A 23,473-nucleotide genomic window follows, 5' to 3' on the forward strand; every position below is an offset into this window, starting at 1 on the left:
TTTCCTTAGGCTGTTTCCTTGCCGATTTTGTCATAACAGAAAGATTCAGAGTGGTGCTGCCGTTTCACTTGACTGGCCGCTCCAATCATGTTATTACAAAGTTGCTATGAACCCGTACCTTTTTGGATAAAGTATTTTAACAGAAATTTGGGTAATTTCCCACACAATTAGTAATTCTGAGGCCAATAAAATGGATCTTGATCCTGGCTGTGATTTTGAAGTTTTACTCTCTGATGCCGTTTGGGGTTAAGGGCACAATCACTGGAGTCCTGTTGCTACACTTGAGTTCTAGCTCCATCATGTACCTACAGCTTCAGGGAACCACGTAATGTAACAGAGCCTCAGCTTCCTTATTAGTAAAAGAAAGAGTGACGATTATAGTGTCTGTATTATAGAGGTGTGGAGGGAATTAAAGTAATTCTTACACGTAAGGTACTCAGTACAGGGTTATACCAAAGATGTTCAACATGTATTCGTTTCATAATTTTCTTCTCAAAATTATTATAAACTAATTATTACACAAATGATATTTTCTTCATTGTATCTTCACATTTAGGTCTCTTACAATTCCAGTTTTTAACCCTTAGCAGAGCCATAGAATTTAGTTCACACTACTATCTTTATATGCGAAGAATAACCTATTTCTCTATTTGGCCAGTAGTCGACTTTGTCTTATTCTTGAGTCCTTACTCATGGTAATGATGGGCAAGCCAGTTAATATCGAGTCTGTGGTTCTAATATGGTTCCATCTTGATCATGCAAACAGCCCTCTCAAAAAAACTGTCCTATCTAGGACAAACAAAACTCAGATTGCCCTTTTCTCACTAGGATGATGCCGGGCTGGATGGAGGAAGAAGCCTTTCTTCCTAGCCTGTTTCTCTGTGATGAAAAGGACCTTCAAAGAGCTTGAGTGTAGCCCTGCTCTCATTCCTGGGCATTCCTGTGCAATGTTCTTTATGAGTTTCATGATTGCCCACTGTAGTGATCTGGAGCTCTCCCTTGCCAGCTTCTGAAAGCTGACTGGTAAAATTCCAGGAATTTTGTGAGTTGGTTGTGAAACAGTTAAATACTACCTATATTAATAATTAAATGACACGAACTTACAATGCAGTAGATTGTATTTAAAGCAAAGGTAATAAAGATTCACTTTCTCCATGCTCAGCATTCTCCTTTGCCTTGTATATTTCCCCCTTTGTTCTACTTTTGTTTGATAAATTATACACTCATCCTCCAGGTTAATATGCTAAATTTGCCTCACGTATGTTCTGCACTTAAATTCAACATTTAGTAACCAGAAAGTTTGGAAAACATTCAGAATAGATCTTAAAGTGTGGATTCTATGATATATTATTATGGGGTTTTATTGCACGTAGTCATTCCAGTCATTTATTGATCCTTAAGAAGTGCCTGAAGCATGCTACATATGTTGTCTCATTTAATTCTCACAAACCCCCATGAAATGAGTACAACTGTCCATTGTTCTACTGACAAAAAACTGAGACATAAAGTTCAGTAGCTTTCCAGGTCTCATGCTGAAACCTGTGTAACCCTAAACCCAAAGAATATGGATCACTGATTTCTATTATGTATAATTCACTGTGTGTCTGCATAATGGACTCTGCATAAAAATCTGATTGCATTTTACTAATATTATAACATGATACAATCTACTTCACACTATCTTTGTAGTGAGATCACACTTATGCTATTTCTTTGCAGAATATAAAAAGTCAATATTAGTTAATTCATGATGGATAATTTCATTTGCTAAAAGAATAAATACTAGAGTAAAAGTGCTGTCTATCATCTGAGGAAACCATTGGCAAATGTATGAAATGAACTTTCTATTCTCATGAAAGGGATTTTAAACACTAAGAGTAGTGAGTACATGAGTTTGCAAGAGGTGCCTTCATTTATTCTATATATATATAGAGAGAAAGGGAGGCAGAGAAAGGGTGGGGGGAAGAGCATCTCCATACCACGAAACAGGACGGTTCTTAGAAATACAGTGAAGAACAAGAGAAAGATGGCCTTGGCCTCCTCAACTTCTTGTAACAGCAGAGAAAGAAGATAACCCAGTTGGCAAATGAATACGACACGAGCTGTCAGGTTACAGCTGATACTACAAGTTTGCCACCTTTGAGAATGTTTTTGTAACACACTACTCAATGTTAGCAGATTCTAGGTTATGAAAATAATTAAATCCTTGATTGCAGAAAGAACATCATCAAAGGAAAGTCCCTTGGCAATGAGTAGATGTGAACATGCTTCTATTTAGGAACTTCTTCTGGATGTGCTCCAAGGGTGCGCTGATGTAAGGAAAGCGTGGCCAGGATGCACGGGGCAGGGCAGGCTGACCTGGCTCACAGGCGGAGGCCTGTCTCCCTCATCACACCCACTGCACCCACCGTCAAAGAGCTTGGCCTTCCTGGAGAGGAAGCTTTGCATAGTCACGATGTCTGCCAAGACTCATGCTGCCTTCTGTGATATGCAGTGAGATTTGGGGAAGATAGTCAGAGACTAGACATTGGAACACATAAAAGAATTGGAGTGCCATAGGAAAGAAGGCCCCTTCAGGCAACATTTCAAGTTACAGATAAAGTTAATGGGAAGACAGTATGCCTCAGTGAGGAATGAGTTTGAACCTGAGCCATTTTGTCCAGTTGTGTGTAATAATGAAATAAAAGAGTAATTGTTGCTTTAATTTTGTGTGTGTGGAAAATGCATTCATGGTATTTTATTAAAAGTATGATATTGCTGTTAGTAGTGGAAACAATTATAGTGCCTTGGGGGATTGAAGAACCTTTCTATGGGGCTTGTCTTATAGCTTCATTTTAAGTAGCAGAGAATGGAACACAATCAATCAATCTCTTAATACTCTGTGGCATTCTGTGTACTAATGAATTCACCTTTGCTGTTCAAATGGAAATACAGGTCACCTTTCAACTGTGAATTTATTCGAGTAATTGGTATATAGTTTGATGTATTTGACTTAACTAATTTGGATATATGTGGCTTTGTTCTGACGTGCTTTGTGAGAATGGTGGAAACATTGCCAAGGGCTAATGGCACCAGTGGAAGGTTAATGTGCAAAAGTAAACTTTTATTGCTTTAAGCCAATGGGCCTTAATGAATTAAAAAATAAAAATAAAAATTCAGTGACCTAATGCCCGTGTGAACCTAGTGAAGTAATTTCTATCATTTTGCTTTTCTGTTCTACAATGGATGAATACACAAGACACTTTGAAACAGTAAACTTTAAAAAATCTGTTTCACTTTCTCATTCATTTGCATGATTGTAATACGAAATTATGTTGCCCAACCATGGAATAAGTTTGAAGATGACAAGAAACACCACCAATCATCATAATAAATAGGGTCAGATGGCACAGAAGCCGTAGTCTTTGGTTTTCACAGCTGTTTGCATTTTAGATATTAACGAAAGCCTACACATTTGGTTCCACACGTGGAAGAAGGACTCTCTGTAACTCCATTCTCCTCTCTGTTGTTTTCAGTGCTTCGGCTCCTGAAGGAGGGGGCAGACCCCCACACCCTCGTCTCCTCGGGAGGGTCCCTGCTCCATCTGGTAAGAACCGCGACAGTCAGTGCCAGTGCATGGGGACACCCGGGGGAGAGTACATTACAGGTTCAAACCCAGGAACGAAATGTACATCTCACAGATGATGATCAGAAAGATGATGTGTTTCTAATTAACAGGCTTGGATGATAAGCTGCAATTATTATTAATTACTGTATTGAAGTTTGTAAATAATCTAGAGTTTCTACCCTAAAGAAATCACTTTTAAAAACTAATAGCATTCAAAATAAGTAAAATAATATTGTATCAATTATACAGTATTAGGCAATCATCCTTTCTTTTTTCCTACAAGTTGTCCTTATTCCTCTAATGAAATTTTACTATACTTTGCTCGTGATCCAGCTCTTATAAAGGCAAATACAGCCTGCCTTGTAGTATTTTAGAAACAAAGTAGGGGGTAAGTGAATAAACAAATAAATAACTACATTTAAAAATATTATATTATAAATAACTGCATTTAAAATATATTAGATTCGTGTGCAAGAAATTGTTGCTGGTTCTGTTCAGGGCAAAAATGAGGTAAAAGTCAACAAGTATTCGATTTGGTGGTCTTTACAACTAATTTAAAGATAGAAACTTAATTTTGAAAAATATAGAAATTAATGTAAGATATCAATCTAATTTATGATTGTCTCTCAAGACAAAAAGTAATGCTATATTTCTTCACATTATAGCAAACTGTAGTAGAGGGGGTCATGCCCTTAACTTCCAGAAGCTCCTTAACATCACATAAATTTTCAACCTTGATTGCACCTGGGGATCATGTGGGTGTTATTAAAATACTGACACCTGACTCCCAACCTGAGTTGAGCCCACAAAGATTCTTACTTATTTTTTCTGGGATGTAGCTTGACCGCTGGGAGTTGTTAAGACTTCCCAGGTTATTCTAATTTATGGCCAACATTGGGGAAAAACTGCATGAAAGAGAAACTGGTGTATACCAAAGGCTCAAGAGATCTGGAATGCAAGTTATTATACAGTCAGCAGAACAGAAAAAGAACAGAGAATATTGTGATAGAAGACAGTTTGCCAAAGAATATAGGCGTTTTCTCTCTAGCACTGGAAATAGATACAAAGAGAGATTTCAAGGTAACGTTTTCCTTCTCTGGAATGTTTTGGTTATGAAACGTCTCTGTTTTACACTCAGATCCTCATATGGCTTCCATGATATTTTCAAGGAGCCATGTCTCATTAGTCCCTAGATCCTAGGTTTAATTTTAAGCAAGCCTAGACTAGGCACATTCTGCTAAGAGTCTTCCATAGATTAATATTCTCTTCATGGCAAATATCGTAAGCCTGTTTTTTTGTTTGTTTTTGTTGTTGTTGTTGTTGAGACAGAGTCTCACTCTGTCGCCCAGGCTGGAGTGCAGTGGTGCAATCTCGGCTCACTGCAAGCTCCGTCTCCTGGTTCACGCCATTCTCCTGCCTCAGCCGCCTGAGTAGCTGGGACTACAGGCACCCGCCATCACGCCCAGCGAATTTTTTGTATTTTTAGTAGAGATGGGGTTTCACCATGTTCGCTAGGATAGTCTGGATCTCCTGACCTCGTGATCCACCCGCCTTGGCCTCCCGAAGTGCTGGGATTACAGGCGTGAGCCACCGTGCCCGCCCATAAGCCTGTTTTTCGGGAGGTCTAGTTATCAGCATGTTTGCACGTCCCAGTAGAAAACAGACCTCTTCCATGAACATATCAGTGCAAGTCATTGTTGCTGTTACTAGGAAAGTGTTATTTCTGTGTATTTATGTGTGAGAGAGAAAGAGGAAGGAAAGGAGAAGGAAGAGGAGTTGGAAGGGAAACAAGGAGCACAGGGGACAGGGAGAGACTGTCACTTCTTCACGTGTGTGTGTCTGTGTGTGTGTGTGTGTGTGTATATATATAGAGAGAGAGAGATTAGATATGTTAATTTTTATATTTTTCAAAATTAAGTTCCTATCTTTAAATTAGTTGTAAAGACCACCAAATCAAATACTTGTTGACTTTTACTTTATTTTTGTCCCTAACAAATATTTTTCTATATATAGATGATATAGATAGTATCTGACTTTTAATGAACACATATATCACTATGCTCCCAATCAACAAATCAGCAGTTGCTTTCTTGATCTTTGAAATAAAGCCACACCACCACCATCTCTCATCCCCTCGACAGCTGCCAGTCGGTTTTAAACCACCATCCCTCTTTTCTGGGTACACAGCTTTCTTCCTCTTCTCCCAGGTTCCATCTTTGCCTGCACTATACTGTTTCCCATTCACAGCCGGGTCGTGTCACTTCTGTATCTGAAATGCTCCAACAGCTTTCCTTCTCTCATAAGTAAAAGCCAAAGTCCTGCTTATGGCCACACCATGATCTGTCTCAAGCCCCAGCCCACAGCCGTTGCAACTTCTCCAGTCACTTTCCCTCTGCGCTCTGCTCTGCTGACACCGGCCACCTTGCTGCTCCTTCAGCGCTGGCCCGTGCTCCTGCTCCGTGTGCTCTTGCCGGGTTTCCACCCAGCACATGCCTCTCAGATGTACACGGCTCGCTTGCTGACTTGCTGTGGGTCTCTGCTCAACGTGATCTAAAGGAGCAGCCCTCCCTGGCTTGCCCTATGGGGTATAGTAACTCACCACTGACGCCTCACAAGCAACTCCACTTCCATTCCTTTATCTTGTTCTTTCCCATCTTTTATAGCACACTTGTCACCAAACCCATCATAGGTTCATGTGACTATTTTCTATTTCCTAGAATGTTAGCTCCATGAGAGATAGGACTTGTCATATTTTCATGAATATTATAATGCCCAGGAGAGTGCCTGATACTCGGAGATGCTCAGTAGATTTGTTAAGGAGATAAGCTAATTAATTAATGTTACTACTTAATTAATATCTGACACTGTGATAGATATTGGGGTGAAAAGATGCAAAATGCATATACTGTGTCATCTGAGGGAGACAGAAAAATAAACCACTGATTGCAGTGGACTGGAGAGGGATAAGCAGATGATAGCGAAGGAGGCAAACAATGGGGCCACAATTATTTTGTTGTGGCTGCTTCTGGGCATCAGTTACAAAGGCTTTTCTCACTCTCCTGGTCCGGCTTAATAACCCATTTGTCCAAGCTCTCATAACATACACTCCTTGCTTCTCTGTAGATATTGCCACAATGGGGTATAATTAATGGAATATGTGGCTTTTTCTCTCTGCTAGACTGAAATCTCAAAAACTGTGACTGTCTTGGATACTTTTCTTAGCAAGTGATGCATAGTGAATACTTGTCCAAGGTCTCATAACATACACTCCTTGCTTCTCCGTAGATCTTGTCACAATAGATTATAATTAATGGAATATGTGGTTTTTTCTCTCTGCTAGACTGAAATCTCAAAAACTGTGGCTGTCTTGGATACTTTTCTGTTCTTAGCATGTGATGCATAGTGAATTTTCAATGCATAGTCAACGAATGAATGAATGAGCTCTAAGGATATAAGGGTCTCTTTGGGTGAAGACCTAGGTAACAGTATACAGAGTATAATCTAAGCCTAGGTGACAAAGTATAAAGATTCATAAATGGTAGCATCTGAAGGAAAAGGAAATGAGAAGGTTAAACTGATGAAGTAGATGGAAGCCACTTTATTAACTCCCAACCCAGTGCAAGGATATTGTATTTTTATGTTGTTATGCAAAGGTTGTGAGACTAAGACAAAGTGGAGGATGAATCTGGAGGACGGATAAGGAAACCTCGTGGCAGCTGAAGGAGGAGGTGCTCAGTGCTAAAGTCTCCTTTTCCTGGGGTTACCAAATAAATAAAAACAAATGAAAAATTGCAGGTTGCTGGAGAGATGAAATTACAGGGTTTCAAAATGTCTTAGGTACTGAAAAAGGCAATGTAGCCATCTAAAATGTCAAGTGTGAGTATCTGTGCTGTTGGCCTCACCTTTTGGGCGTCCCACATTACAGAGCCTGATGCTTCATCAGCACTGAGCTCTAATTATAGACGATCAGCGACTTTGAGGGAAAGAGAGAATGCGAGTGTGGGCATCAAGAATCAGCTGCAGAAATTACTTAGTTGTGTTTAACTCAATTGCTATTAAAGGTAGATATTTGAGAAACATATTTTAATGTTTTGGCCATATAGCATCTTTAGTTTTATCTTATTTTTAATAAAATTTCAACAAATACATCTGAATTAATCTTTTTACCCCACCATTTATTGAATGCATGTGTTAAACATATGGCAGGTATCAGGTACTCTGACAGACAGAAGGGGAATAATTGCAAAAAGTAACAATGTCTGTATCCCAGGCAGTTGGTCTCATGAGGCCAGTATAGAAGAAACCTTAGATTTAACTCTTTACAAAAAAAAAAATTATGTTTATGAAGTAAAAAACAGTATTACATACGTTTTGCTAAAATGTTGTCCAGGGTTTTGTTATTACCTTTATTCGATGAGCAATTGAGAAGGCGCTCCCAATGGTAACTGAACCCTCCACCTCAGACTATAGCCAAGCTCAGGTGAAATATATTAGAAATAAGAACTACTCTTTCTTTGATCAAGTGAATTCTAGTTGTAACATGGATATAGGAATTTAAACAGTGGAATTCATGTAGCTGTTAAAAATATTCAGCTGGCCAGGCATGGTGACTCACGCCCTGTAATCTCAAGCACTTTGGGAGGCCGAGGCGGGCAGACACGAGGTCAGGAGATCGAGACCACCCTGGCTAACATGACGAAACCCTGTCTCTACTAAAAATACAAAAAATTAGCCGGGCGTGGTGGTGGGCGCCTGTAATCCCAGCTACTTGGGAGGCTGAGGAAGGAGAATGTTGTGAACCTGGGAGGTGGAGCTTGCAGTGAGCTGAGATCACGCCACTGCACTCCAGCCTGGGTGACAGAGCAAGACTCCATCTCAAAAAAAAAAAAAAAAAAAAATTGAGCCATAATGTATCTGAAACTATGTCCAAAACATATTATACATGCCCAAAGCGGGTTACAGAATAGTGCATATAGCACAATCGGATATATGAGAGAGAAAGAGAGAATCCTTTTAACAGCCAACGGAGGATCTTGAAGACCAGATAAGAAATTTTCAACAGTGACTCAGGTTGGGGAAAAGGGGACCAGGTTTTGTAATTATTTTCTGTTTCCTTTTACAAATGACTTGAACATTTTAAATAAGAAACATGCGTGTTTCATATAATAAAACCAACATATAAAATTAGTTAAGACTGTTTTTATTCAAAGTTTAAATTTTGAATAATTTAATAATTTGGCTACTCAAACAAGAAAATGTGCTGCCCAAAACCGAGCTGCTCTTTGCTCTTCACCATCAGTTTCTCTAAAGGCTTGCATGCTATAAGAAGCAGAGATAATTAGCACCTTACTACAGTAGGGGTGGTTCAACAGCCTAATATCTTCAAAGTCTAGCAGAAAATAATGTATTTTGTAAAGAGGCAGAATATCAGGATTCTAGAGAAAATGCCTAGAGAAATATCTTATTTTTAAAAATGTCTAGGTATTAAAGAACAAAAATAGTTGCTGTGTGGAAGTTGTCCACCAGTAACCCTGCCCACCCACCTGGACATTGGCCATTGAACTCCAAGCCCCTTTTTTGCTTTCCTAGAAGAAAAAGAGCAAGAGCTACAAGGGCAGACTCTAGCAAGAACATCAATCACAGCAGAAGACAATATCCCCTCTGCACAGGAAGGTATTCCACACGGGGCCCCCACTCCACATCCTCCAAGGACCTCACAGGGGCTGTTCCTGCATGTTCCTTGGAGGATGTGGAATGGGGGCCCCATGGAGGATGCAGCAGCAGGAAGCAGAAGGCAGGCAAGGGGCAGGAAAGAGAGCGGGCACAGCCAGGCAAGTTGGGTGATACTGATGTCTGAGGGTGAGCGCTGCAGGGTGCTGCCTGTCGCTGGCAAACAGGCAATGGAGGGGCCACGGACTGTGAACAAGAGACTCTTCACATAACCCCAGGGGTGCAATTCAAGATTCAAAATCCTGGCTGGATGTGGCTTTTTTCAAATTCATTGTCTTTTGGGTCCTTGAGAACCATCACATCCATAACTGGAAAGTCCCTAGTTCAGAATTTTAGATCATTAGTGAGATATCCAGCTGAATCTTGGAAGAGAATCGTAACCTTGACCTGCCTGCGGATGTATTTTTATCATGACTCCCTGCATGCATGGCTTAGGGGACAAAAGGGCAACAGAAGAGCACATTGTGATGATGCTTTAAATGCTACTGGAAACCCAATGGATGAGTTTTCCATTTTTTAGGAATACACCACACGGGCCTGATTTGCTCTGCATCAGATGATCTAAGAAAGGCCCCAGTGAAGATAGCAACTAGATTTTGTGTTTCGTTTTGTTTTTATATCTTTGTAATAAGGACCCCAAATTATTAAGAATCAGAACTCTTTCCTGACAGGGTGAAGGCAGATAACAAGGCATTTTCCACAGACTTCTTATAGAATTATAGCTCCCCTAAGGAAACTTGCAGACATTCACCTTCAAAGCCACTGGTAACAAAATCTTTCCTGGAGAAACTAGAGTTTTGTAGCAAGAAAGGGTTTCCTTACTTATCAGCCTGAAACTCACCTACTTAGAAAGTCTTTCTTTAAGCAACCCTAATAATTTACATTACTCTCTAGATGTACCAAACTGCTTATAATTCCACAAATGGCTGATCCCATTCCTCCTCAATATCACTCAGGCTGTTTCTTACTTTGGGGAGCTCTACCGAGACGGGCCAGCAGCTCACCACGGTCCCATCTCAGCTTTCTGCCTGCGTCATCCCCCAGTTGTAGGTTGTTGGTCCTGAGGTGAGTTCTTGTTTATAATAGCCCTCTGGCTTAGCACAGCACTGGGGGCATAGTAGTTCCTCAGTGAATATGTACGTTTAACTAACAGATATATGAATGTCTCACCCCAGGCCGCACCCACTTGTTCACTGCCTCTTGATCCTTCAAGACAAGCTCCTGTGTTCCCGTATTCAATTATCCAATTCCTATCAGGCTATTAGGTACCTTCTGCTGTGACTCCATAGAATGCTATGTATACCTTTTATCATAAACCTCACAATATCAAACAGCACTATTTCTTAAGAGTAGTTACTACGTAATTCACCTTTATATATACCTTGCCAAGTACAGCTGGAATATAGTGTTGCCTAATAAAATCTAGAGAATTTAAAATGCAGCAAACCAGTGCTGCTGATGAAGGAGATTGGTTTACATTCACCCAAAAGGATAACAGGTTTTTAGGATTTTAAAATTTCTGGATGTGGTTCGGTGTTTAGAGTCTGGTTCAATTGGCTGGAAGCTGCGGCTCTCTGCAGTGCAAATAGAAATAATAAATATGATTCAACTCACAGCATTCTGGGTAGTTTATCTATGGCAAGATAATCTGGAGTATAATATTTGCCAGAGAGAAGATCATGAAAAGCAAAAATAAGTATGTTCAAGATAACACTACAGTGAATATGATCCTTCAATGTGACATGGTGGCAGAGAAGTGGACGAGAGTTTGCAAAGATTCAAGCACAGGCTGAAAGGGCCGGTCTGCGGTATTGCTGTTGAATAAAAACAAGCGTATGGAAGTTCCAGAATCATGTTAGATTTTGAGAAATTGCAATAAATTTAAATTTATTTTGCTACTGATATAAATTTATCTATTTTGTCCGCTACTTTTCTTCTCTCTCTGTCACTGTTTCTGACTTTCACTGTAGAAATGTTCTTTGAACTACTGAGAACTCATAAACATAGGACAAAAACATGGACTATATCTCACTCAAATTGTGCACCTCACGTCACTTCTTCTTCCCCCATAGCTACCTAAAAGTTCAGAGTTTTGTTGTTGTTGTTGTTTTTTAATTTACTGGTAGAACTGTGCCTGGCACATGACATTCACGAAGACAACCCTGGATCAAACTGGATGTTTCCTAGTAATTATTTCTCTAGTCTCCTCTGCCATGACTGCTCCGTAACCACTACAGAGAAGAGAAGGGGAAGCTTGCATTGTAAAACATGTAGACTTGTGAAAAGTCATGTTAAAATAGATCCAACGCTCATTTTAAAAATTGGTGAAAGATAACTCTTATGTATGAACCACAGAATTTGATTTGAATCTTCAGACTTGATGTGTGATTTGTAAATATTTGTAATGATTTTCTGATTTACTGAGTGATAGATTTCAGGGTCATTCATGATATGTTCATTAGCCAATCAGAAGGGCCAGGATCCAGAAACCACCCCTTACACCAAGACAGCAGAAAAAAAAAATTGACAATGCATTTTAAGTTCGAAGTTCCCTTTGCTTGTCATTTGGTTCCTATGATTTTCAGTACTTTCAGATGAATCAATAATGTGCATTGTGTTGAGTTTGTATATTAAGACATATTACCTTTGTTTAGAAAGTTACAAATGAAATAGTGCAGTACAAGAGAAGCTGTGAACTGCTGATGCTGTGTTGAAAAGATTTGTTGACACATTCTAACCACACGGTCAAAGCTTTGGACAACCTTTGAGGAAGGCCTTGCTCTCTCGTCACTTTGCTCTCTCAGTTTGTCTTAGGAGGCAGAATGAGGTATTGTAGTCATAGATTGGGATGCCAGAATTTAATATTTCAGAGTGAAGCCAGTCTTGCTAATACAAACCAGAGGTGTGGATAAAGATTGGTGGAGTCCAGGAGGGATGACATTTTGGGGTTCTTATGTGGAGTAAGTGGTATTGTTAACGCTTCCTCTGTTGATAGTGTTCAGGAGGGATGACATTTTGGGGATCTTATGTGGAGTAAGTGATATCATTAATGCTTCCTCTGTTGATGGTGTTCTAAGTGGAGAGAAGGATGTCATCATGGTCCCCAAGTCTTCCATGACAGAGAAGAGTGACCAGGTTGGGAGATGAGGTAGTACATAAGGATTGGGTAAATCTTAGAAAGAAGCACATCAATGTAAGCGTTCAGTGATTCCAGAAGAATCAATGATAAGCTCAGAAGATATCCAAGCTTTTTTAGTGCTCTGTGGAAGAATAAGTTTCCCTACACTGGACAAGGCTGCAGGAGAGATGGTGTTTTCAGAGAGGCTGACTTCCATTTAGGTTCTCTGGACATTTCCAGAAGTGGAAATTGGGCTGGGTTCGCATCATTCCATGGAGGGGAGTAATCTGTGGCCATGAAGGAATCTAGGAGCTTAGTTGATTAAAGGGCTTGGTAATTCAGGGCAGGCATCACAGGCAGGTTACCCATATAGTCACACGGGGCCTTCTTTTTAGAAAGGTACCATGCTTGATTTCACCCTCTGATATCACTATCTTGAAATCGTCAATAATTTTAAAACTGGAAGCCATGAATTTTCATTTTGCACTGGGTCCCACCTTAACTAGCTCTTCTTGGCATTTTGAGAGGTAAATGAAGGTGACAGCAGGAGCTTGGGGACCTGGCTCCAGGCTGCAGGTGGAGGACCTGGTGGTGTTGGAGTTCTGCTGGGCATGACAGAATGTGGGTTCAGTCACTTTCTTGGTGCCATAAAGTGTCACCAGAAAGTGGCTGACATAAGGAAGAACAACCTGAATTGGGAGGAATATTTCCTGGCTTGAAGAAAATTCTTTCTAGGGAAGTAGATTTACTACATAACAATATTATAAGAACATTGTAACAGGAATGTTCCACCATCACACTCTTTTCAGACAAGAGTGACTAGAAAGTATTTATTGCTGTCAAATTATTATTCATAATCCTCTGAAATGTGATTCCCAAAATTATATCACTTGAGAGGGGCTGATATCACTTTCAACACTGGATCTAATTAACTCTGTTTGGTGAAAGACAGTGAAAATCCAAGCTTCAGGTATCTGAATATAAATGTAGATTCCTGAGGTGCAGGTCGAGGATATCTTGACAGGCACAGAAGGAGGAGGTCACATCTTTATTGATTATACGCTGAGCTATCACAAAGCTAAAGAGAGCAGAAAAGGAATTACTTGCATATGAATTTCCTAAAATGAAGTAGATCCGGGCCTCACATTCTAACATCAAATTTATTGAACTTTCATACTGTGCCACTCACCTTCTGTGTCCTTGTACCCAAACCTGAAGCTCCAGGGGATGGGGCCTCAGTTCATACGGTCAAGGCACTGAGTCTAGTGACAGTTTTTTTATTGCTACACATCACCCAGAACATCAGATACAGAAAGACCTTAGTTCAAAACCAAAATTATTCTGTAAGAATTCGCATTTGTCATTGCACCTATTGCTTACTTGAATCCTAATAATGGTGTCTGCTAATACATTCCTCCATACTCTTCAGCGACCTCACACCATGCTTTTTCACGGTGGTTGTTGTACACTCTTGAGACGATCTGATAATAGGGGATGGTATGAGTATTCAGTTAGTGTATCATGATTGTGAACTGTAATTTGAACACCCATTTTTTTGGTGAAGTGAGAGATTAAATATTTTGCCTTATCTTTGAAGCTGTTTGTTTCTTTTGAAATACTGAATTTTGAGAGTTCTTTGTATATTCTTGATAAATGTCTTTAACAGATGGGTGTTTTGTGAATATTTTGTCTTAGGTTATGGCTTGTCTTTTTATTCACTGAGAAGTATCTTCTGAAGGGTAGAGGATTTTTGTTTTAATTAAATTCAATTTGCTAATATTTCCCCTGATAGGCTGCATTTTTAGTATCATACTAAGATTTTCTGTTATGTTCTTTTTAGAACTTTTGTAACTTTTGGTTTTACATTTTTTGCAATTTTACATTATGAGTAATATTTTTATATAGGACAAAATATAGGTCAAAAGTATTTTTATACATGTGTGTACCCAATTGTTTCAGTATAATTGACTGAAAGAACATTCTTTCTTCACTGAATTGCCCTTGCCAGTTTCTTGAAAATTAGTTGTCTATACATGAATTGATCTATTTCTAAATTCTCTATTATGTTTCATTGATTAATTTCATTTTATGCCAACACCACACTGCTTTGATTGCTATAACTTCATAACAAGTCTTGAAATTAGTTAGCTTTAGTCCATGAATTTTGGGTTCCACCACCCTAAAGTTCTTTGGGCAATTTTAGGTCCTTTGCATTAACTTATGAATTTTAGATTCAGCTTTTCAATATCTATAAAAAAAAACCCTTCTGGAATTATGACACATTTGGATTGAATCTACAGATCAATTTGGGAAGGACTGGTTTCTTAACAATATTGCATCTTCTGACCCAAGAACACACTAAATTTCCATTTATTTAGGTTTAAAAAATTATCTCACTAACGTTTTGTTGATTTTGGTGTGCAGGTCTTACTGATATTTTGTCAGATTTGTCCCTAAGTATTTCAATATTCTTAATGCTATCTTAATTTAAAAATTATTTTTCAAAGGCTTACCACTAGCATATAGAAATATCTTTGTTTTTTGTATAGTGATCTTGTATCTTTCAAATTTGCTATCTTAATTATTGGTTCTAATAACTTTGTATATTCCATTATATTTTCTACATAGATGATCATGTCATATGCGAATAATGGCAGTTTTAATATTTGCTTTTCAATCTAGATTAATTTGGCTTCTTATTCATTCCTTTTTGCCATGGCTAGTACTGCCAGTGGAATGTTGAAGGGAAGTGGTAAAAGTGAACATGCTTGTCATCTTCCTGGTTTCAGTGGAAGGGGTGGAAGTTTTCTTGGAGACAATTATTAGCTCTTGCTTTGTTATCCAGTCTAATACTCCCTGCCTTTTAACTGTGTCATTTAGAATATTTGCACTTACTTATATGGTTACTTATATGTTTGGTTGAAATCTACCATCTTCCTTTTTTTTAGTACTTGTGTCATTTGTTTTTCTTTCCTCTTTTTCTGCCTTCTTTAGGTTTGAGTATTTTTCGTGATTCAATTTTAACTCTTTAGCGGTATTACGCACGGTGCATGTTATTTTGGTGGTTGCTTTAGTATTTTTAGGATACATATTTGACATAACCCTCCCTTGTTTCAGGTGGCATCCTACCCATTCACATGTAGCATAAAAACATTCCTTACAATATTATGTTTTCATTTCTCCCCTTCCCGCCTTTGTTTTATTGCTGTGATATATTTTAATCTGTATAGATTATAAGCCTTATACTCTCTTGTGATTTTTAAACAATTATATTTTAAGTATACTAAATGAAAAAATATATATAACTCACAGTCACAATTCTCAGTGCTCTTCATTTTGATATAATCTTTTAAAAAGATCTCTCACAGATCACTGATGCTCTGCCATTTTTAAAAAATCATTTTTCTTTCCTTGTCATATTTTGTTTAATTTATGTTGCTGCTTTGGATTTCATTCATCTTTTCTTCTGAAATATCTAGTCTGCTGTTGATCCCATCTAAGCCATTAAAGTTCTCATCTCTGAAAGTTAAATTTGAGTCTTTTTAATATCTTTCATTTATGTACTTAACATCTTCAATAGATCCCCTCACTTTCTGAACATAGGGAATATAGTTATAAATACGGTTTTAACACCTGATTTGCTCATTCTAACAGGTGTATCTCTTCTTCATTTGTTTCCATTATCAATTTTTCTGTTCATTGTGGATCCTATTTTCCTGCTTTTTTGTATACTTGGCAATTTTTTTGGTGGATTCTAGACAGAGTAAATTTTGCCTTGTTGGGTATTCAATATTTTTGTAAATAATCCTGAACTCTTTGGGGGCTACTAAGTTATTTGGAAACAGTTTCATCTTTTCAGGGCCTGAATTTGAAATTTTTTAGTTGGGAACAGAACAGCATTTAGTTTAGGACTCATATTTCCCTCCACTGAAGCAAAACACATCTAGTACTCTACCCAGTGCTCTGTCAGTTACACGGTTTTCAGTCTGGTTGGCAGGAACAGGCACCGTTTCTTGCAACTTATGAGCCCTGAGTCCTCTTTCTTTTCAGGCAGTTCTTTGCCTGACCTTGGGCAGTTTCCTAGAGTGCAAGTGCTGATCATTATTCAGCTGAGCACTTGAGGGAGGCATTCTTTAAAACTTTAAAGTTTTTCTCTGTGCAGCTTTGTCCTCTCTGCTACTCTGCTCTGAAATTTAGCCACCCTGGTCTCTCAAGACATTTCAAGAGCCAGCCCTGGTCAAGCCAGGTTCTTCTCCCTGTGCTGTAGCTTGGGAACTCTCTCAAGGTAGGAGGCTGGAACAGTAGTAGGGCTTATTTTGTTTGCTGCCCATCATTCAGAGGTCATATATTTTGTTTTTCTTTTTTAGTTGATTCAAGCAGGAAGGTACATCTGGTCTCTGTTACAGGGAAGCAGAAATTCTACAATGATTTGTTTTTAATGGTACTATCCAGTAAATTGGTGGGTAAATTTGTGTGCCAGTGCTTCCAGTGGGATATTGATTGACATTCCTTTGGGGAGAGAAATCTGTTCTATGCATACACATCACAGAAAAAGTATGTATCTCATAACCCAGAAATTTTGCTGACCTATTTAATAATAGGTTTTTAAAAACTAATTGTACTAATATGCATTTAGCATTATGTAACTTATAGATGTAAATATGAAAGATACTCGTAAGGCTGGGTGTGGTGGTTCTCGCCTGTAATCCCAGCACTTTGGGAGGCCGAGGTGGGCGGATCACGATGTCAAGAGATTGAGACCATCCTGGCCAACATGGTGAAACCCCATCTCTACTAAAAATACAAAAATTAGCTGGGTGTGGTGGCATGCACCTCTAGTCCCAGCTACTCAGGAGGCTGAGGCAGGAGAATTACTTGAACCTGGGAAGTGGAGGTTGCAGTGAGCTGAGATCGCGCCACTGCACTCCATTCTGGTGACAAAGTGAGACTCTGTTTCAAAAAAAAAAAAAAAGAAAAAGAAAAAGAAAAATACTCATAAAAGGACTGGATGATTTGAAGAGGCCAATGCAAATAAATATCTGGGACTTTTCAAAATTGAACATTCAAGATGGTAAAGGCAGAACATCAAGGTACAGGACTCATCTAAGTGCAGTTGCATAGATTGTACACCCGTGATGCCAGCCCTGACTTATATATACAATATTTACCTGAGTTTGAACTATAAATAGTAAATAAAGTTAAGTTGCTGGATGGTTTGATTTAGTAAATTATTGAACATATATAAAATGCAACATTATAAAATCATTAAAATTCATTTTAGGAGACTCTTAAATTTCAGCTGTTAACTCTTACAATATGACATGCTGTGAAACGTGACTAGGGTGAAGGTTACAGATGGGAATGTTGAGGGATTAAGTTAGAGGGATTCTGAAGGGCCTTGTCTATCTTGGATGCCATTAAATAGTTACACTTTATTCTTTTGACAGTGACAAAGGATGCATGTTTTAGAGTAGAAGGGTATTATGATCAACTCTGTATTTTTAGAAAGATAATTATTGTGAATGGTTCAAGTTTTTTTTAAATAATCCTATCTACAAATGAAATAAAAACCAGTAAGTGAAGTACTTTTTTCGACCTTCCTACTATCTACCCTGATTTTCTTCTTTCTGTCTGCTGTTCCTTGACCCAGTTCCCCAGAAGTCTTGCGTATGTTCTTTTCCTTGTTGGTTAGTTGGGGAAATACATCTTTTCCCAGGTTAGCTTCACCTCTCAACTCCCAAAATTGGTATTGAAGTTTTTTTTTAAATCTGTGGACATTTGGAATAAGCCATATCACAGTTTGTAATAATTTGATATTTCCTTGTATTCTTTCTTTTAGTGTGCTCGGTATGATAATGCCTTCATTGCAGAAATTCTGATTGACAGAGGAGTCAACGTCAACCACCAGGATGAAGACTTCTGGACGCCCATGCACATTGCCTGTGCCTGCGATAACCCTGATATTGTCCTGCTTCTTGTATTAGTAAGTAAAGCAATTCAGTTTACCATTTGAAGATTTGATGGCATGTAAAAGGCTATATATTTAACTAATGCTATTTTACAATATGTAATATTTTGGTTGAGAAAAATCTGCATATGTTATCATGTATCTCCCTAGAACACAAGATAATTAGAGACTAAGGTTGTGGGTCACATAGTTTATAAAACAATTTGTGCAGATACTATGCCAAATGCAACTTCTCTTGCCTTTCCTTGGGAATTATATGCCTTGATACAAGTCAGTTTCAACTAAAATGGTTTGATAATTTTGCTTTTCAATTCATTCTCATTTTTAAATTTTTAGCCAAAGAGGCATAACATTATAAGGAGATATGGTTTATATTGAATCTTTTTTTTTCTTGGTTACATCTAGTAAAGAAGTGTCTACAATGTTTGTTTACATGAAAACGGGAACTTTAAATATAAAAAGCATTGGAGTTTGTTGTTTTGGTTGTTATTTTCAGTTAATCTTACATCCAGACGTTGATCCTCACACATACTTTATTTTGGAATAGTGATCTCTAGAAAGTATTTCAAGAAACTATTTACAATTTTTAGAAAACACACTGGAATATATGAGCAAGAATGATTTGCTTTTATTTTATTTATTTAAAAAATTAACTTCTTAATGCCTTGCTATTATGCAACTGGATTTTCACATTTTTTTATGTAGACTCTCAAGAATTTACACAAAAGCAAACTGATGCTCGAATATATTAAACAACTTGCCGTAAGCCAAAAGCAAACTATAGCTAAGAACTCAAGTTCATTGTCAGAAGTCCATTTTTTGTCACTGAGCCGTGCTACCAATGTTGGTTTCCCATGCCTGCCATACCAATTACCGCCTAGTTGGTGGCTGAACACAAGCACCCTTGCGGAGGTTAGGAGTCTGAAGTCAAGGTGTGGACAGGGCCGTGCTCCCCCTGTAGGCCCTAGTGATGAAACTTTCCTTGGTGCTTCCTAGTTACAGTGACCCCTGCAGTCCCTGATGTTCCTTAGATTATAGCAGCATCACTCCAGTCTCTGCCTCCATCAGCACATGACTTTCTTCTGTGTCAGTGTGTCCAAATCTCTCATTCTTTCCTTTCAGAAGATACCAGTCATAGGATTTAGGGCCCGCCCTAAGGCAGGTGGCCTCATTTAACTTGATCACATCTCCAAAGACCTTATTCCCCAATAAGATCGCATCTACACTACTAGGGAGCATAGCTTTTTTCTGGAAAACATTTTAAATACACCATACTGCCCCTCTTCCCCCCCTCTTAAAATTCTGAACAAAAATATTTTGGGATTAAAGGCTGTATATTGGGACTGTCTTAATCTTGTAGGAGGTTTAATTTTGTCTAGTTTTCTCTGATTTGTCCTTCAAGAATATGTACACTTTCTTTTTTTTTTTTTACAGTAGAAATATATGTCACTAAAAGTGTATTTCTTTCAAATTCTGGAAGATGGAGGGTATATTAAGGAAAGACAAAGGAAATAAAGATTATTTAGCTGAAATATAAATTTTTAGAGGGCTAGTACTGTATATAAAAAAGCATGAAAATCTACCTGACTCATTTATAAAACAAGATTTTTGTTTTGTAGATACAGAGCCTAAGAGGCACTAAATTGCCGGTTCACCATAAAGGCCATAGAATTTCTCCAGAATTGAAAAAAACTATAAAATATATTACAGAAAGGAACCAAATCGCCTTTCGAGTAATGCTGTGACCTGATCAACTTTAGACATCTTTAGAATGCTAACAACTCATAGAGCACGCAGCTGGGTCATTTAAGGAGGAACTACGTTCATAGTAGTTGTTTGATACATTTTTTGATAGTTCAACTAGCTGCTTTAATTATAAAAGAATGAGATAGGCTTGATTCATGGCTTTTGCAGTTTTTCTATGTTCTGATTTCTTTTTTTCTAAATACTTGTTTTAATTTTTTTCAAAGCCCATCCTTATTTCTTTTCTCTGACTAATTATTATTAATTAAATTAAGCCGTGCCAAAAGAAGCTCTTTCTTCCTGCATGCAAAATGGCCATACTTATTCTCACAAATGAATATTCATATGGTTGTGCTTAAAATTTTTAAATCCTGCTTCCATTTCCTCAATGCAAATGTCTGGACACAGGCTTCAGTTTCTTGAGTTCAGAAAGGTTTGTGAGATCTCAGTTTCACTGCCAGCCAGGATTCCCTTCCTCCATTCTGAATGTAGCAGTTTCTTATTTCTGATCGGAAAGAGCAAGAGGACTTGCCTTCTTTCTGTAGTCTCTACTGAGTCTAGATCGTGGTATCTCACATGATACTCACAATTAAATATTGCAGGAACAGCCCTGAATTGATGAACCAAATTATGACAAAGAAAAGAAGAGTCAGATCTGAGTTACATTTCAAGCAAAATAGCTCATAAAATAACAGTGTAGTGACTCAGGTGCAGTATCTATAAGTACATGAAATGACTCCCCTTCAGCATCTAGGAGACTGGTATCACAGGTAGCATATGATAAGGTTCGGCCATGTCCCCACTCCAATCTCATCTTGGAGTTCCCATAATCCCCACATGTCATAAGAGGTAACTGAATCATAGGCGTGGTTTCCCCCATGCTATTCTCATGACGGTAAGTTCTCATGAGATCCTATGGTTTCATAAGGGGCTTTCTCCTTCACTGGGCTCTCATTATTTCTCCTGCTGCCCTATGAAGAGGTGTCTTCCACCATGATTGTAAGTTTCCTGAGGCCTCCCCAGCCATGCAGAAGTGTGAGTCAGTTAAACCTCTTTTCTTTATAAATTACCCAGTCTAGGGTATTTCTTCATAGCAGCGTGAGAACAGGCTAATACAGCATAATTGTCAGAACTAACATTTATAGTCTAGAGGTAGCAAAACACTTAGACCACCTTGAGCACAAGAAGGAGGCATGTTTATAACCAGAGCTAGGATTGGGGCAGGCCATCAGGACTGGTATCTGGCGTAACAACATAATTATAAAAATAAATTAGATATACTGGCAAGTTATTCAGACCTTTCCTATGACTCCTTGTGTAACTGAGGTAATAGACATTAGCCTTCTTCATGTTGAGGCTAAGCAGCATCTTCCAAAGGAAATTTGATTAAAAAATGGCACCAATCCTGGTCTCCTAAATGAATGTTTAGAAAAAGGGTAACAATTTGGAGAAGTGTTATATTGTTGTCCTAACTAGGAATACCCTCACATCATTGTCAGACTCAGCGCTAAGTTCATTAGGATGTGGAGAGTTCTAGACACTCCTTCTCTGTACTTTTATTTTATCTTCCTATTCTTTGATACATGCCCGCATTTACTATTAAGATTACCAGTACATTATCTGTGTTCCTTGATATTTCATCCCATTACGAATATTATACTTGTTTAAATAATGACTTCTTTTTCTCTTTGTTCTTATGAGATACAGTTTCTGTAACTCCTATTTGTTCCCATGGCAACAACTCAATCACATTAATGGCCAGTTGCCTTTAAAATAAACGTCTCTTCTGCCTGGAAAAATTTGATGTATATTCAGTAATTCTTTGTCTAACTAACACCAGCTTCAGGTTAGGCATTTAATAAATAATTAGCTTCTAGCAAGTCACAGAAGTAGTTAGCACATGCATGCATTGCTGTTTGTTAAAACGGTGCCTAGCACTTGATAGATGCTTAGTGTATGCTTGAATATCATCTCTCAAGCTACATATATGAATCAACAAATGAATGAAAGAAAGCAGGCCAGTTTTTGGAATTCAGCCTGAAAAATATTGACAATATTAACTCATAGGTAATAAAAGCTGCCGTATAACCACATCCATCCTTTTACATATTCTAGACTTCTTTACCTCACGTGTTCTACACTTGTATTACAAGTGCTTGCTTTAGCACACAAATCATCTCAATATCTGATGAGTTTGCTTTTCCTTACCAAACAGAATTGAGGGGGAAAAAAACTAGTTGTGTTTCATGGATGATCATAGAGTTAAATGTATAATTTTCAAATTATTAGCAATATTTTCATGGCTCAGCAATGTCCTGTTTCTCACAGTGCAGAATAATCCAACCTAATATACAAAGTAATATATCTATTAGTTGCTCTCATTCAATGACTTCTACTAACCAATCATCATCTTCATTCACTTAATTAATATAAATTATCACCGATTATGTGTGAACATAAGGCCTGCCCTGAGGGAAATTACAGTTTGTTTATTCATTCATTCATTTACTAAATATTTATTGAATGACTACTATGTTTGAGATGCTGCACAGTGAATGAGAAGATATTTTATACTCTAATGGTGAAAACAAACAATGCAATTAATCAAATGAACCCCTGGGAAATTTGATTAATGGATTAAGCAAATCTGAGTAGCTGTATTCATACCGTGTTATAGCCAGCCTAAGTATCCATCCACAGAAGCAATTTACTCTGAATAAATGTTGATAAAATATGTTGTCATAAAAATTCTAATTATTGTAAAAATACATTCCTGCCAATAACCTCAAAAGATAAATGTATTTTACTTGCCAGATGAAACGCTATTGTCCAATGTGGAAGACTGTATGCTCCATCTTCTTTCCATTTTCCAGAGCTTGATGATGGGCCAGAGAGACTGTGCAGCATTGATTCATTTATTAAATCTGTGGTAGCCGTCTGTGTGTACTCAAGGGAGTCAGCAGTGAGCACAAGCAGAAAAAGCCCTGCCTTTTAGAGCTTACATTCTATTAAGGAAAAGCAGATAAAACACACAAATGACTAAAATTTATAGTATATCAACTAGTAAGAGGTTTTGGAAAGGTCAGGAAGAAAGGAACAGAGTATTAAGGATGGCTTCATGAAAAAGGTGACATGTGAGCCGGGAGCTACGTGGATACGTGGGTGCAAGTGTGCCAGCCAGAGGGGACGGTACATAGAAAGCTATGTGGCAGGGTCTGTGTATTGGAGGGACAGCAAGGAGACCAGCACAGCTGCAGTGAAGTGACAGGGGTCAGGGGATAGATGTACTCAGAATGGCATGGTGAGG

The 23,473-nt window shown here is 38.2% G+C and overlaps 1 protein-coding gene across 5 annotated transcripts in view; it reads left to right on the forward strand.

The window, feature by feature from the left end:
• Positions 1-23,473, forward strand: part of MYO16 (myosin XVI) — a 712,290-nt gene that overhangs the window by 213,430 nt on the left and 475,387 nt on the right. For all 5 annotated transcript variants that reach the window (XM_011521062.2, XM_047430183.1, NM_015011.3 and 2 more), the window contains exons 3-4: positions 3,516-3,586; positions 18,295-18,438. In XM_011521062.2, coding sequence (XP_011519364.1) covers positions 3,516-3,586; positions 18,295-18,438 — 215 coding nt within the window. The remainder of the gene's footprint in view (positions 1-3,515; positions 3,587-18,294; positions 18,439-23,473) is intronic.

The sequence above is a fragment of the Homo sapiens genome, chromosome 13 (genome assembly GCF_000001405.40).
Source record: "Homo sapiens chromosome 13, GRCh38.p14 Primary Assembly".
Taxonomy (NCBI): domain Eukaryota; kingdom Metazoa; phylum Chordata; class Mammalia; order Primates; family Hominidae; genus Homo; species Homo sapiens.